A 14,596-nucleotide genomic window follows, 5' to 3' on the forward strand; every position below is an offset into this window, starting at 1 on the left:
ATCAGCCATACATTTCATAAAATTCACGAATTGTTCATGAGTTTTGTTTGACAAATGTACATGATTGTGTAATCACCACTACAGTCACGATATAAAACATTCTGCTCACCCAAAATGTTCCTTTGTGCCCCTTTAGAGTCAGTCTTCTTCCCCCACATCTGGGTAATAGCAATTACTAACCTTCTCTCCATCACAGTAGCCTTTCCTTTCCTAGGATAAATGGAACTATAAAGTATGTAGTCTCTTGTGTCTGTGTTCTTTCACTTAACACAATGCTTTCAAGATTTATTCATGTTAATTTGGCAGCTCTCTGAATAATTAATTGAATAGCCCAAGTACTAGTGGGAAGGAAATCAGACAGGAGACAACAGCAAAGGCCCCAGCAAGAGATAACAAGGATATCTGAACCAGTTTGCTGAGGGAATGACAGGAAAGACACAGAGAGCAAAACAAAGAAAGAGGAAGGAAGGAAAGAAGGAAGGAAGGAGGGAAGGAAGGAGAGAGAGAGAGAAAGAGAAAGAAAGAAAGGAAGAAAGGGAAGAAAGAAAGACCAGACGCAGTGGCTCACGCCTGTAACCCCAGCACTTTGGGAGGCCAAGGCAGGAGGATCACGAGGTCAAGAGATCGAGACCATCCTCGCCAACATGGTGAAACCCCATCTCTACTAAAAATACAAAAATTAGCTGGGCGTGGTGGTGCGCTCCTGCAGTCCCAGCTACTCTGGAGGCTGAGGCAGGAGAATTGCTTGAACCCAGGAGGTGGAGGTTGCAGTGAGCCAAGATCGTGCCACTGCACTCTGGCCTGGGGACAGAGCGAGACTCTGTCTCAAAAATAAAAATAAAAACAAAAATAAAGAAAAGGAAGAGCGGAAGGGAGGGAAGGAAGGCGAGAAGAAGAGAGGGAGGGAGGAAGAATTTAGAAAAAGAACGTTCTGGTGATGGATTGGATGGAGGAAGAGGGAGGGAAAAGAGTTAAGAATGGTTCATAGTTAGCCAGGGTTCCTTCCTGGTAGAGTGATAATTTTTTTTTTTTAAAAGGAAATCTGGGCTTAAAGAGAAGAGGAAAAAAGTTCAATATTAACTATATTCACTTTGAAATGCTTCTATAAAGTCCAAGTGGATGTCCAAAACTGAGAGCTGAAAATGTGGTCTTGAAGCTTTAGACAGCAGGCAGGAGGGGGTTGCCTTTTCAGAGTCATGCATGCAGTGCTGACGGTGGAATTGGAAGTGAGAGACATGGAGAGAAGGGCACTTATGTGAGGAATAAGAGTTTCAACAGGCCACTCCGCAGCAGCAGGAGGAAATGGGGAAATGCAAGGAAAATGAGTTTCCAGGCAGTGAAGACAGTCAATGTAGTTCTGGAAGCCTAAGGAAGCTAAGTGTTGAGGAGAAGGGAGAACCTATAGTGGCAATTACCAAAGAGAATGGATCCCAACACGCAGACATGGAACTGGGCAGGAAGAGGGGCAGGACAGCCTGGCCACAGCTGCTTGCTCAGTGGTATGGGCAGGAAAAGTGAGCTGGAGCAAGGGGTACACATTTGAGGCAGCCTTATAGTCCTAATGGTCCAGTGGTTTAGTAGGAAAATAAGGTGAAAGAAGGATGGTGTCTATGTCACAGGAAGCCAAGCCAAGAAATAAGCAACGGGCCCAGGGGAGACTCAAGTATGAGAGGGCAAGAGGGAACATTCTTGGTGCAGCAGGCAGAGCTCTCTGCTCACACGATCAGGGCCTCTGCTGGCAACACGTTTACACTCATAGAACCTGACCTTTATCCAAACATTTCCTCTGCATGCAAGAAAACAGACATGTAGAGAAGTAAGTCCACTTGCCCACAGTTACAAAAAAAAATCTGTGACAAAGCCAGAATAACTGTAACAATGTCACAATTTCTTTTAGAATTTGACAGAAGGATTCTTAATTTCACCATTAGAAAGAAAATACTCTGTAGTAAATACCTATGCCATCCAAGACAAATTATTTGTTTCCTTAAGTCTTGGTCTCCGTTTTGGCAAAATAGAAATAACTATGTTTAAACAAAAGGCATGTGAAAAGAGACAAAGTACCTAAAGGCCCTGTGTGGATCATCCTTATTATTTATTTGCTCCAGCCATATTGGGCTTTTCCATCTTCTTGCACACAATGTATTCCCTCGTTTCAATTTTGCCTTCACTCCTCACCTGGCTAAATCTCTCACGTCAGCCTAACTGCCACTTCCAATAGAAGCCACCCTTAATGCTGCCAGACCACGTCAAACATACTCAGTGCTTCTTTTTTTTTTTTTTTTTTTTTAAGATCTCTCTCTGTCACCAGACTAGAGTGCAGTGGCATGATCTTGGCTCACTGCAACCTCCGCCTCCCGGGTTCAAGCGATTCTCCTGCTTCAGCCTCCCGAGTAGCTGGGACTACAGGTGCACGTCACCACACCCAGCTAATTTTTGTATTTTTAGTAGAGACAGGGTTTCACCATGTTGGTCAGGATGGTCTCCATCTCTTGACCTCATGATCTGCCCACCTCAGCCTCCCAAAGTGCTGGTATTACAGGCGTGAGCCACCACGCCCGGCCTCACTCCTTCTATTATACTGTACATCTTAGTCCATTCATGCTGCTATAACAAAATACTTTAGACTGGGTACCTTATAAACAACAGAAATTTATTTCTCACAGTTCTGGAGGCTGGAAAGTCCGAGAGCAAGGTGCTAACAGATTGGGTGTCTGGGGAGGGCCCTCCTCATAGATGGTACCATCTAGGGGACCTCACGTGGTGGAAGGGGCCAATCAGCTCCCTTGGGCCTCTTTTATAAGGGCATGAATCCATTCGTGAGGACTCCATCTTCATGACCTAAACACCCCCCAAAGGACCCCACCTCCTAATACCATCATCTTGGGGGTTAGGATTTCAACATACAAATTTTGGTCTGACACAACTAGTCAGACCATAGCATTGTTGAATCACATTTTAAATGGGAATCAAAGTCTAAACTTAGCCTATAAGGCAAAAATTACATGTGGATAATCAAATAATATATTAAAAAACCCACACATGTATATATACACACACTTTTTTTTTTTTTTTTTAAGACGGAGTTTCACTCTTGTCACCCAGGCTGGAGTGCAATGGCGCCATCTCAGCTCACTGCAACCTCCGCCTCCCGGGTTCAAGCAATTCTCCTGCCTCAGCCTCCCGAGTAGCTGGGATTATAGGCATGCGCCACCACACCCAACTAATTCTGTATTTTTAGTAGAGACAAGGTTTCTCCATGTTGATTAGGCTGGTCTCGAACTCCGGGTCCTAGGTGATCCGCCCACCTCGGCCTCCCAAAGTACTGGGATTACAGGCGTGAGCCACTGCGCCCAGCCAATATACAGTTTTTAATGAAGTACTATTAAAACTGACCCAATAGTCCCAGAGACAGTTCTTCTGGATAAACATAAAAATTGACCCTTCTGCTAGTCAAGCTTGAAACTTTTATTTGTTTTATCTGAGTTCTTTCCTCAGTACAGGACCTTCAGGCCTCTCAAAAGAGTATCAAAGAACTGAAGCCTCACAAAGAAATGAAACTCACCAGGTCACACACAGCCAATGCTGGACCTCTCATTCATCGTGATTGCTTCATTGCCCCTCCCTAGTTCCTGTTTTCGTACATGTTGTTACATTTCTTCCCTGCTAAATAAACCCCTAGTTTTAGTCAGGGAGATGGATTTGAGACTGAACTCCCATCTCTTTGGTTGCAGCACCTGCTGAAAGCCATCTTCCTTGGCAGTACTTATAGTCTCAGTGATTGGCTTTCTGTGTGGCAAGCAGCAGGACCTAGGCCGAACCCCTGGTGTCTCAGCTACATTATCAATATGTGCAACGCAGCCAAGTTTTCTTCCATTATCAGAACAACAATGCAAAAATGGAAAATAATCAGACACATGTTGAATTCAAAGCAGGGGTGGCTGGGCACAATGGCTCATGCCTGTAATTCCAGCAGTTTGGGAGGCCGAGGCAGGAGGATTGCTTGAGACCAGGAATTCAAAATTAGCCTGGTCAACATAGCAAGACCCCATCTCTATAAAAAAAATCATTCAAAAATAGCTGGGCATAGTGGTACATGCCTGTAGTCCCAGCTACTCAAGGGCCTGAGGTGGGAGGATTGCTTAAGACCTGGAGATCAAGGCTGCAGAAAGCTGTGATCTTATCACTGCCCTCCAGCCTAGGTGACAGAGTGAGACCCTATTAAACTTGTATTTAGACACAGAGCGCTGATTGGTGCATTCTTACAGAGTGCTGATTGGTGCGTTGACAAACCTTTAGCTAGACACAGAGTGCTGATTGGTATGTTTACAATCCTTTAGCTAGACAGAAAAGTTCTCCAAGTCCCCACCGGACCCAGAAGCCCAGCCAGCTTCACCTCTCAGTCTCTCACTAATTTGTGAAAAATGTTTGCTTCTCAGGAATTCTGAGGGCACAAGAGGTCAAAAATGAGGAGTGCCTTCGTGACCTAAGGCCACACAGGTCTCAAGCCAACCGCTGATCTTGTACAGAATCTAACAGAACAGTTCAGACCACTGTTCAAAGGAATTGTTTAGCATATGGAGTAGCCACTGTTTCATAGATAGCCTATACTCCAGTGAAATCTGTCCAGCAGAAGTATAGTAACTGTGCACAGAGACTTCTTTTCCTCTTCTAGTTCTCCTGTACCTCCTATCATTCTAATCTCTAGCTTTACATCATCTGCTGCTATATATTTATGCATTTTCTCATTTCCATTTCATACATTTAAAGAATCATGGCTTTGGATTTCTAACCTCTGTTTCCCACACCAACGCTCCTTTTTTTTTTTTTTTTTTTTTTTTGACGGAGTTTCACTCCTGTTGCCCAGGCTGGAGTGCAGTGGCGCGATCTCGGCTCACTGCAAACTCTGCCTCCCAGGTTCAAGTGATTCTCCTGCCTCAGCCTCCTGAGTAGCTGGGATTACAGGCGCCTGGCACCACTCTGGCTAATTTTTAAATTAATTTTAATTTTAGCCAGGCTAATCTCGAACTCTTGACCTCAGGTGATCCACCCACCTCGGCCTCCCAAAGTGCTGGTATTACAGGCATGAGCCACTGCGCCCGGCCAAAAGCTCTTAACTGGTTAAAAAATAGCCCATGAAGAACACTAAAAAATAACATTACTAAATAATGATTGAAACAAAAGTCAAATACCCAAAGTACTCAGGTAAACTACTCAAAACATTACAACTTTTCATCCAAAACCAAATAGCTCATGGTAGGTAATCTTTAAAATATATTTAGCCTTTACTTGGCACTTGAGGCTCTAGAAAGATCACAAAGTCAGAGAAATCCAACTGAGAACGCAAACATCCATGCCTAAGGGGAAACCTACGTACGGGGTTCATGAGCATTACCAGGGCAGAGGGGAGGTTGGAGGTAAAGGCTTTCCAGGTGGCTGGGGTTAAGGGGGGCAAGCTCACTGGCAGGACTGGCCACAGCTACCAGAGACTGGAAGAGCAGAAACCTCGGGGAAATGCAGGGACCAGCTGGCATGGGGCCTGGTGAAGCACTTTCCTCTTTATTCTGGAGGCTAGAGCGGCTTTCTGATGAGCAGCTGCACATTCACATTTGATTCCAGCTGTCACAGAACACCGTCATCATTGCTCCCTGGCTCCTGAGGCAAAATACCAGCATCTTTTTTATATGAAGCATAAGTATGTGCATGCAAATGCACACCCGCGCGCACGCACACACACACACACCCCAGAATGATACAAGGTGCCGGTCTGTTAGCATTTCTCAAAAATTCCATTCCAACCCTGGTACAAAATATTCAGATTATAAGCAAGGATTGAACACTTCACATTGGCATTCCCATTTTCCCCCTAAGGGTTGCACTAATTTACAGTAAATCATTGAATAATGATTAATAATAATACGGCTTAAAATACTGCAATGATAATCTATTTAAGAAATAAGTATGTCCTTCTACTTAAATTAAAATCACCCAATAATAAATCTCCAAGTGAAATTGGATATTAATATCCAATTAAATAATATGAATACAACTTAATTTATATTCCCGATTTTATTGTATGAATTCCCCAATTACACTGTATGGGGGCCACTAAACTCTGCTCTGTGCTGAGTAGCGAGAATGGGGGGATTCTAGAGTGGGCACTAGACTCAGGGGAGTTTGGGTCTCCAATTTCACAACTTTCACCACATGGGCAGTGACCGTATCCTCTGCTAAATGCCATGGAAATAGCACAGTCCATGGCACGTGAGCCTCTCCAGTCACATCCGCTTTGATTTTGCCTTAGTTTTAGTCTTCAGGACCAAATTCTGTCTATTAGTCACATGGAGAAGAAGATTTTTCATTTATTTTATTATTATTTTTTTTTTTAGTATTTATTGACCATTCTTGGGTGCTTCTCGGAGAGGGGGATTTGGCAGGGTCATAGAACAATAGTGGAGGGAAGGTCAGCAGATAAACATGTGAACAAAAGTCTAGGCAGAAGGCCCTGCCGCCTTCCGCAGTGTTTGTGTCCCTGGGTACTTGAGATTAGGGAGTGGTGATGACTCTTAACGAGCATGCTGCCTTCAAGCCTCTGTTTAACAAAGCACGTCTTGCACCGCCCTTAATCCATTTAACCCTTAGTGGACACAGCACATGTTTCAGAGAGCACGGGGTTGGGGGTAAGGTCACAGATCAACAGGATCCCAAGGCAGAAGAATTTTTCTTAGTACAGAACAAAATGGAGTCTCCTATGTCTACTTCTCTCCACACAGACACAGTAACAATCCGATCTCTCTTTCTTTTCCCCACACTTCCCCCCTTTCTATTCGACAAAACCGCCATCGTCATCATGGCCCGTTCTCAATGAGCTGTTGGGTACACATCCCAGACGGTGGGGTGGCCGGGCAGAGGCGCCCCCCACCTCCCGGACGGGGCGGCTGCCGGGCGGAGACGCTCCTCACATCCCAGACGGGGCGGCGGGGCAGAGGCGCTCCTCACTTCCCAGACGGGATGACGGCGGGGCAGAGGCTGCAATCTCGGCACTTTGGGAGGCCAAGGCAGGCTGCTGGGAGGTGGAGGTTGTAGCGAGTGAGATCACGCCACTGCACTCCAGCCTGGGCACCATTGAGCACTGAGTGAGCGAGACTCCGTCTGCAATCCCGGCACCTCGGGAGGCCGAGGCTGGCAGATCACTCGCGGTCAGGAGCTGGAGACCAGCCCGGCCAACACGGCGAAACCCCGTCTCCACCAAAAAATACAAAAACCAGTCAGGCGTGGCGGCGCGCGCCTGCAATCCCAGGCACTGGGCAGGCTGAGGCAGGAGAATCAGGCAGGGAGGTTGCAGTGAGCCGAGATGGCAGCAGTACAGTCCAGCCTCAGCTAGGCATCAGAGGGAGACCGTGCAAAGGAGAGAGGGAGAGGGAGAGGGTTGGGAGAGGGAGAGGGAGAGGGAGCTCATTTCTTTTACTAATAAAATTAGTTAACATTTTTAGGGCAGTTAGGAATGTCCAGCCTTGAATAGAGCGCTGCACATGTGCTGACTCACTGAATCCCTACACTAGCCTGAGAGATACAGAGCTGGTTTTTCCATCTCCACTGCACACATGAGGAAACCGAGGCTTAGAAAGAGTAAAGAATGTGTCCAATGCACCATAAGGGGAAATGGTCAAATGAGGATTAAAACCCGGATTTGTCAAACACCAAAGTCCCTTCTCTTAAAGATTATACTAACTTGGTCACACTAAATAGTCCCATCTAGGCATTTGCTAACTTGCTAGGGGTGCCAAGAGCCAGAGGAGGGGTCAGTGTTTGAAAAAGTGCCCCGATTAATAATAATAACAACTCAAACGTGTATGGTGAATTTTGGCTTACAGTGGGCGATCGTGTCTGTTATCCCACTGAATTGTTTCCATTAGCTCTACTGTAGACGGCCTCTCTAGTTTATAAAGAGGAACTGGAGGCTCAGAGCGAGAGGCAAGTTGCGCAGACAGTCACTGGGAGAGCCGGCCTCAAAGCCAAGTCTCCCCACTGCAGAGGGAGTTCTCCATCCAGCACCCAATGTCATGATGGTGCCCTTCCTCCAGGGCCTCCTTCCCTTTCCTGTGAGGAGGAAGAGGGCTAAGAGGCTCCACATAAACATCAGCATTCTGCACACCACCCCGCTTCTCCCTTTTCTCCCCCAAAGTTAGTTTGACTTGTAGGGAGAGCAGGCAAACACCTTTCTTCATGGGGTGATCTCAGAGGCACAAGGGAGGCCACACTGATGTCCAGACTATTTCTCCCTGTGACTAAAGCCTGCAGTCAGCCACTTACAGCATCATCCCTTTCATTCTGAAGGTTTGATTCCGCTTGAAATAAAATATCCCTGAGAAGGGGGTTACTTTAAAGTGTTTTCAGGAAAGGGCAGTGGAGTGGAGTGAAATGTTGCTGAGGCAGGAGTCTGACGTGGGGGTTCAGTTCAGCCCTGGCTTGCCCAAGGCTGTGTGTGTCTGGGGGCAGCACCCAACAGCTTGGGGTCTTAGTTCAATTATCTATGAATTCAGAGGCAGTAAACCAGAGATTGGAGATTCCTTCTGGCTTAATGTGCTAGATTTATGCAAAGCTTCATTGTATGTTCTTTGTGGATGTTTAGACATTTCAACTGTTCTGAATTATGAGATTAGAATCAACAGTGGAAAAACACAGACTTCTGTTTGATGACTTACTTCAGAGAGTCTTTAGAGTCTACTGGTTAAAAATAATTTACTTGGCTCCAAAAGGATGGCTGTGAAACATTTTGGCAGGACTTTATATGTAAGGACTTGACTGTGGTTAGCCCATTGCAAATGATATTTGTTAAGTTGCTGAAAACAAAATCTTTCCTGAATACTCTTCTAAAAAAAGATGATGCTATGTCAGCTTGATTCTAAATGTTGTCATACTCCTACAAGGGCTTTCAAAGACCATAACCTTCTCCAGTCCCTCCCAGACCCTACTCTCAGTCAGTCAGCAAACCCTATGTTCTTTCCATATTTCATTCCCTCCCTTCCTTCCTTCCTTCTTTCCTTCCTTCCTTCCCTTTCTCTTCCCCCTCCCTCCCTCCCCTCCCTCCCTTCCTCCCTTCCTTCCTTCCACCTTCCCTCCCTCCCTTCCTTCCACCTTCCCTCCCTCCCTCCCCTTTCCTTTCCTCCTCTCTCTCTCTGTCTCTCTCTCTCCATCTTTGTCTCTATCATTCTCTCTCCCTCCATCTATTTTTCTATTCCATTCACTTTCACTGTCTTTTTTAGTCTTTGGAAGAATGCCCAGGGCTCAATGTCTTATAAACTTTCAGTAAATAAAAGAGTTTTATTGTGTCATTGGGGGTAATCTAACTAGCTGATAAAACTGCTGAAAGCATTAAACCTGCAAAATGTCATTCCTGGGATTATGCTAAGCCTTGCAATCAGTTAATAAAAATCACTACACAGCAGAAAGTCTACTCTGCCCTCCTAAATTCAAATTGCATCCTCAATTTTCCACCTACCCCACCGCATCTCCCACCTGCCTCCTGGCTGCTGCTTCGGGGCAGAGCTCAGAACTTGGCATCTCCCCCCATAGGAGTCGTGACAGATTGAATGAGAGAGAAATAGAAACAGCAGGCATTTAGCTCACAAACAGATCAGAAGGGGAGAGTAAGATAACGCAAAGCAGATTCAACTCCTGTGACACCGACTGTCTAATTTTTTTAATGGGCTTCTTGATTTCCATAGTGCTTGCCCTGATTTCATTTAATTAGATAAAAAAGAGGTGATACGTACCTGTATATTTTTGTATGGAAAGGGGGAAGAAAGACAATGAACATGATGGCAGCTTTCGTGTTTTGAGTGCGTCTTATGTGCCAGACTCAATGCTAAAGTCACGCAGAACCCTTACCATCCTCCCATTTGCAGAGAGCAAACCAAGGCTCCAGGAATGGAGGACCAGCTCCTTCCTGGCTAAGCCTCTTCTCTCCCATTGTGCTTGAAAACGGCAGTTTCCTTGAATTAGGAATCAATTTATACAGAAATAATTCTCAAAGGGGAGGCCAGGACATATGAGCACTTGTATGCATTTTTTTAAGAGGAGTAAAAGAAACAGAAATGTGATGTCTAAGATATTCTTTTGTTTTATTTTTGTTTGTTTGTATTTGTTTTTGTTTTTTTTGAGAAGGAGACTTGCTCTGTCGCCCAAGCTGGAGTGCAGTGGCATGATCTCGGCTCACTGCAACCTCCACCTCCTAGGTTCAAGTGATTCCCCTGCCTCAGCCTCCCAAGTAGCTGGGATTACAGGCACCTACCAGCACACCCAGCTAATTTTTTGTATTTTTAGTAGAGACGGGGTTTCACTGTATTAGCCAGGATGGTCTCGATCTCCTGACCTCTTGATCCACCTACCTTGGCCTCCCAAAGTGCTGGGATTACCGGCGTGAGCCACCGCGTCCGGCCGATAATCTTTTAAAAGAAAACTTTCCCCATTTATATGTAAAATACATTCTCCCACATCTCAACCTTAACTCTCCCATTTCCACCTCTCCTGCAGCCTTTTTACTAAAAGTCAGTACAAGTCCTTTGGGGACAAACATCGTGAGAGGGAGATGGTAGATGAGGAAGGAGAAGCTCACACTGCCCTGAGCCACTGTTGGTGACAGAGGCCTCTGCCTCCACATTGTTTCACGTGAGCACATGTGGGAATGCATCTGGGACATGAGTTTTGTTTCCAGTTGTCCCAGGAAACAAAACCCCTGCGGCCTCTAACAGGCAGCCCTCCCATGAGGCCAATTGTGGGCTCTGGCTCTGCTGCTAAACTTTCCAGCCTTTCTGAGATTTTACCAGTAAACTTTTCTGCTTAACAATACAATTCCGCTACTAAGCAAATTAGCCACTCCAAGTTACAGAGGAAAAATGTGGCCCAGATTTTGATGCCAACAGGAAACAGCCTCCTCTTCTCCTCTCCTCCTCCTCTTCTTTTCTCTGGGCTCTGCTGAGTCACTTTCAAATATTTTTTTTCTAGGTTTTCTTATATTTCCTCCCCTTCCCCACTTTTTTTTAATACTACATTTTAAAGCAACAGCATTGTGCTGTTTAAAGAGAATGATAAAAACACAGGAAACAAATTCATAGTTTCTTTTTACCCTGAGTGCTTGACTTGAATCGACCTTTGGTGACAGGTTCTGCCCCATGGGCCTCCCCTCGCCTCCATACACTGCCTTCGAGCCTCCCCCAATCCCACACACAGGGACGGACAGGTAGCACTTCTGAGAGCTTGAAGATCAGGTGCGCAGAACGTACTGGATGAGGAGCCAGAGACTTGACCTGGCTTTGCCTGTCATGGCCTGTTTGACCTTGAGTGATTTACTTAATTCCCGGAATCTCCAGGCCCCTCAGCTATAAAACGGAGGGCTTAGCGGAGATGGCCCTCAGAGTCCTTCTGCCAACACTAAAATTCTCCTCTCCTGGGGCCTCTGGTTCAAGGCTGGTGAGTAAAGGCAAACCCAGCATGTTCTAGCAGAGGCCGAGAGGTTTCATTCTTTCTGACTGCTCTGCTCAACTACTCTCTTCCCTTCCTGCTGTCGCAACACACAGCGCTTTTATTCATTTTAAGAATTAAAAAATGTCCATTCCAATTTAAAACTTCAGTGTCTTATCCTCTTGTCTCCCCATCTCTGAGTCTTACAATCTGTTTCTTATTGACAGAATAATTTCAACTTATTTAATTGTTCGTTTTTATCACTTTTGTTTCACATTTCACTGTTTCAAAAAGACTTTTTTTTTTTTTTTGAGACAGAGTCTCACATTGTCACCCGGGTTGGAGTGCAGTGGTGTGATCTTGGCTCACTGCAACCTCTGCCTCCCGGGTTCAAGTGATTTTCCTGCCTCAGCCTCCTGAGTAGCTGCAATTACAATTGCTGGCCACCACGCCCGGCTAATTTTTTGTATTTTTAGTAGAGATGGGGTTTCACTATGTTGGCCAGGCTGGTCTTGAACTCCTGACCTTGTGATCTGCCCACCTCGGCCTCCCAAAGTGCTGGGATTACAGGCATAAGCCACCATGCCTGGCCTCAAAAATATTTTTTAAATTAATACTTTATTTGAAATAATTTTTGACTTTGAGAAAAGTTGCAAAAGGGTCGAGTTCCATATATTCTTGACTTAGTGTTTCCAAATGATAACATTTTCCCTCATTCCTCATTTGCTTTACTATTCTGTTATATATATGATATTTAACAAATATGTGGCTGGGCACAATGGCTCATGCCTGTAATCCCTGCACTTTGGGAGGCCGAGGAGGGAGGATCACCTGAGGTCAGGAGTTCCAGAGCAGCCGGGCCAATATGGTGAAACCCCAACTCTACTAAAAATACAAAAATTAGCCAGGGATGGTGGCGCATGCCTGTAATCCTGGCTACTTGGGAGGCTGAGGTAGGAGAATCACTTGAACCCGGGAGGTGGAGGTTGCAGTGAGCTGAGATAGCACCACTGCACTCCAGCCTGGGTGACAGAGTGAGACTCTGTCTCAAAAAAAAAAAACCAACAAAGACAACAAAAAGCAAACATGTATTTATGCACTTGAGACTAAGATATAATGCCCCTTTGCCCCTAAATGATTCAATGTGTATTTCCTCTTTTTTAAAAAATAATTTTTCTCTTGTATAACCATAGTACGGTCTTCAAAGTATAAAATTAACATTGATGCGATACTATTACTAATCCACACATATTATATACGTTTCAGAATTATCTCACTAATGTCCTTATAGTAAAATAAAAATAATAATTTTTTTTCTGGTCTAAGATTCAATCAGGGATCACACATTGCATTTAATTGTAATTTCTTTTTAGGCTCCTTTTCTCTAGAAAATCCTTCAGTCATTTTTTTTACTTAAATGAACTTGAACAAATAAAGTCAAGGATGGCAAAAGAAGGTACTCCTATGAATTCAAATCAGGAATGTCCAACTTCTTACTTGTATTGAAACTTGTAACTTTCACTTATACTGAAACTTTTCAAAGCATCTTTCCAAATTGCACTTTAAAAGGCTTATTTATGATGGGGCACGGTGGCTCACGCCTGTAATCCTAGCACTTTGGGAGGCCGAGACGGGCAGATCGCGAGTTCAAGATTAGCCTGGCCGACATGGTGAAACCCCGTTTTCACTAAAAATACAAAAATTAGCCAGGTGTGGTGATGCACGCCTGTAGTCCCAGCTACTCGGGAGGCTGAGGCAAGAGAATCGCTTGAACCCGGGAGGCGGAGGTTGCAGTGAGCCAATATTGTGCCACTGCACTCCAGCCTGGGCAACAAGAGTGAAACCCTGTCTCAAAAAAAAAAAAAAAAAAAAAGGCTTATTTGAGTTTTATCAAAAATATGTCATTGCCTGGGGAGAAAAAAAGAGACAAGCAAGCCAGGCAATAAAGGAAAATGTAGGATTCGTTTACAATTGGATACACTGCATTATTGCACTCCTGACAGAAGAGAACTTCTATTTGACTAGGTGTGGTGAGAACCAAATCCACTGCTTCCAACTTTTCATGTTTGTGTCAGTTATCTATTACTGTGTAACAATGACTCCCAAATTCAGTGGCTTTAAACAACAGCAATTTTATTTTGTCATGATTCTATGGATCAGCAAGTTGGGCTGGTCTCCGCTGGGTGGTTCTGCTTGCCTCATGTGTGATTACTCATGAAGCTGCAGCCATCTGGTGGCTCAAGTGGGGCTGAATGAGCTCACATGGGCTCATTTACGTATCTGGTGGTTGGTGTGGGCTGTCAGCTGGGCATCCCTTTCCTTATGGCCTCTCATCCTTGAGGAAGCTAGCCTGGGCTTCTTCACATGGCAGAAATAGGGTGGGTGTAAAAGCTACCTGTTGATGGTCAGGCACAGTGGCGCATACCTATAATCCCATCTTTTTGGGAGGCTGAGGTGAGAGGATAACTTGAGGCCAGGCAACATAGCAAGATCCCATCTCAGCCTGGCACAGTGGCTCACACCTGTAATCCCAGCACTTTGGGAGTCCAAGGCAGACAGATCACAAGGTCGAGAGATCGAGACCACCCTGGGCAACATGGTAAAACCCCATCTCTACTAAAAATACAAAAATTACCTGGGGGTGGTGGTGTGCGCCTGTAGTCCCAGCTACTTGGGAGGCTGAGGCAGGAGAATCGCTTGAACCTGGGAGGAGGAGGTTGCAGTGAACGGAGATTGTGCCACTGCACTCCAGCCTGGGGACAGAGCGAGACTCCGTCTAAAAAAAAAAAAAAAAAAAAAAAAAGCCGGGCGCGGTGGCTCATGCCTGTAATCCCGTAATCCCGGCATTTTGGGAGGCCGAGGCAAGTGGATCACGAGGTCAGGAGATGGAGACCATCCTGGCTAATACGGCGAAACCCCATCTCTACTAAAAGTACAAAAAAAAAATTAATCGGGCGTGGTGGCACATGCCTGTAATCCCAGCTACTCGGGAGGCTGAGGCAGGGGAATCGCTTGAACCCAGGAGGTGGAGGTTGCTGTGAGCCAAGATTGCGCCACTGTGCCACTGCACTCCAGCCTGGGCGACAGGGCGAGACTCCATTTCAAAAAACAAACAAAAAAAAACACAAAAGAT

General features: G+C 45.3%; 1 annotated feature.

Moving 5' to 3' along the window:
• Positions 6,301-6,978: an enhancer, noted in NCBI's record as "NANOG-H3K27ac-H3K4me1 hESC enhancer chr18:7203119-7203796 (GRCh37/hg19 assembly coordinates)". NCBI's record gives its function as "activates a minimal SCP1, AML or CMV promoter by ChIP-STARR-seq in primed H9 embryonic stem cells {active_cell/tissue: H9 hESC(primed)}" and the evidence as "EXISTENCE:reporter gene assay evidence [ECO:0000049][PMID:30033119]".

Source organism: Homo sapiens, chromosome 18, assembly GCF_000001405.40.
Source record: "Homo sapiens chromosome 18, GRCh38.p14 Primary Assembly".
Lineage (NCBI taxonomy): Eukaryota > Metazoa > Chordata > Mammalia > Primates > Hominidae > Homo > Homo sapiens.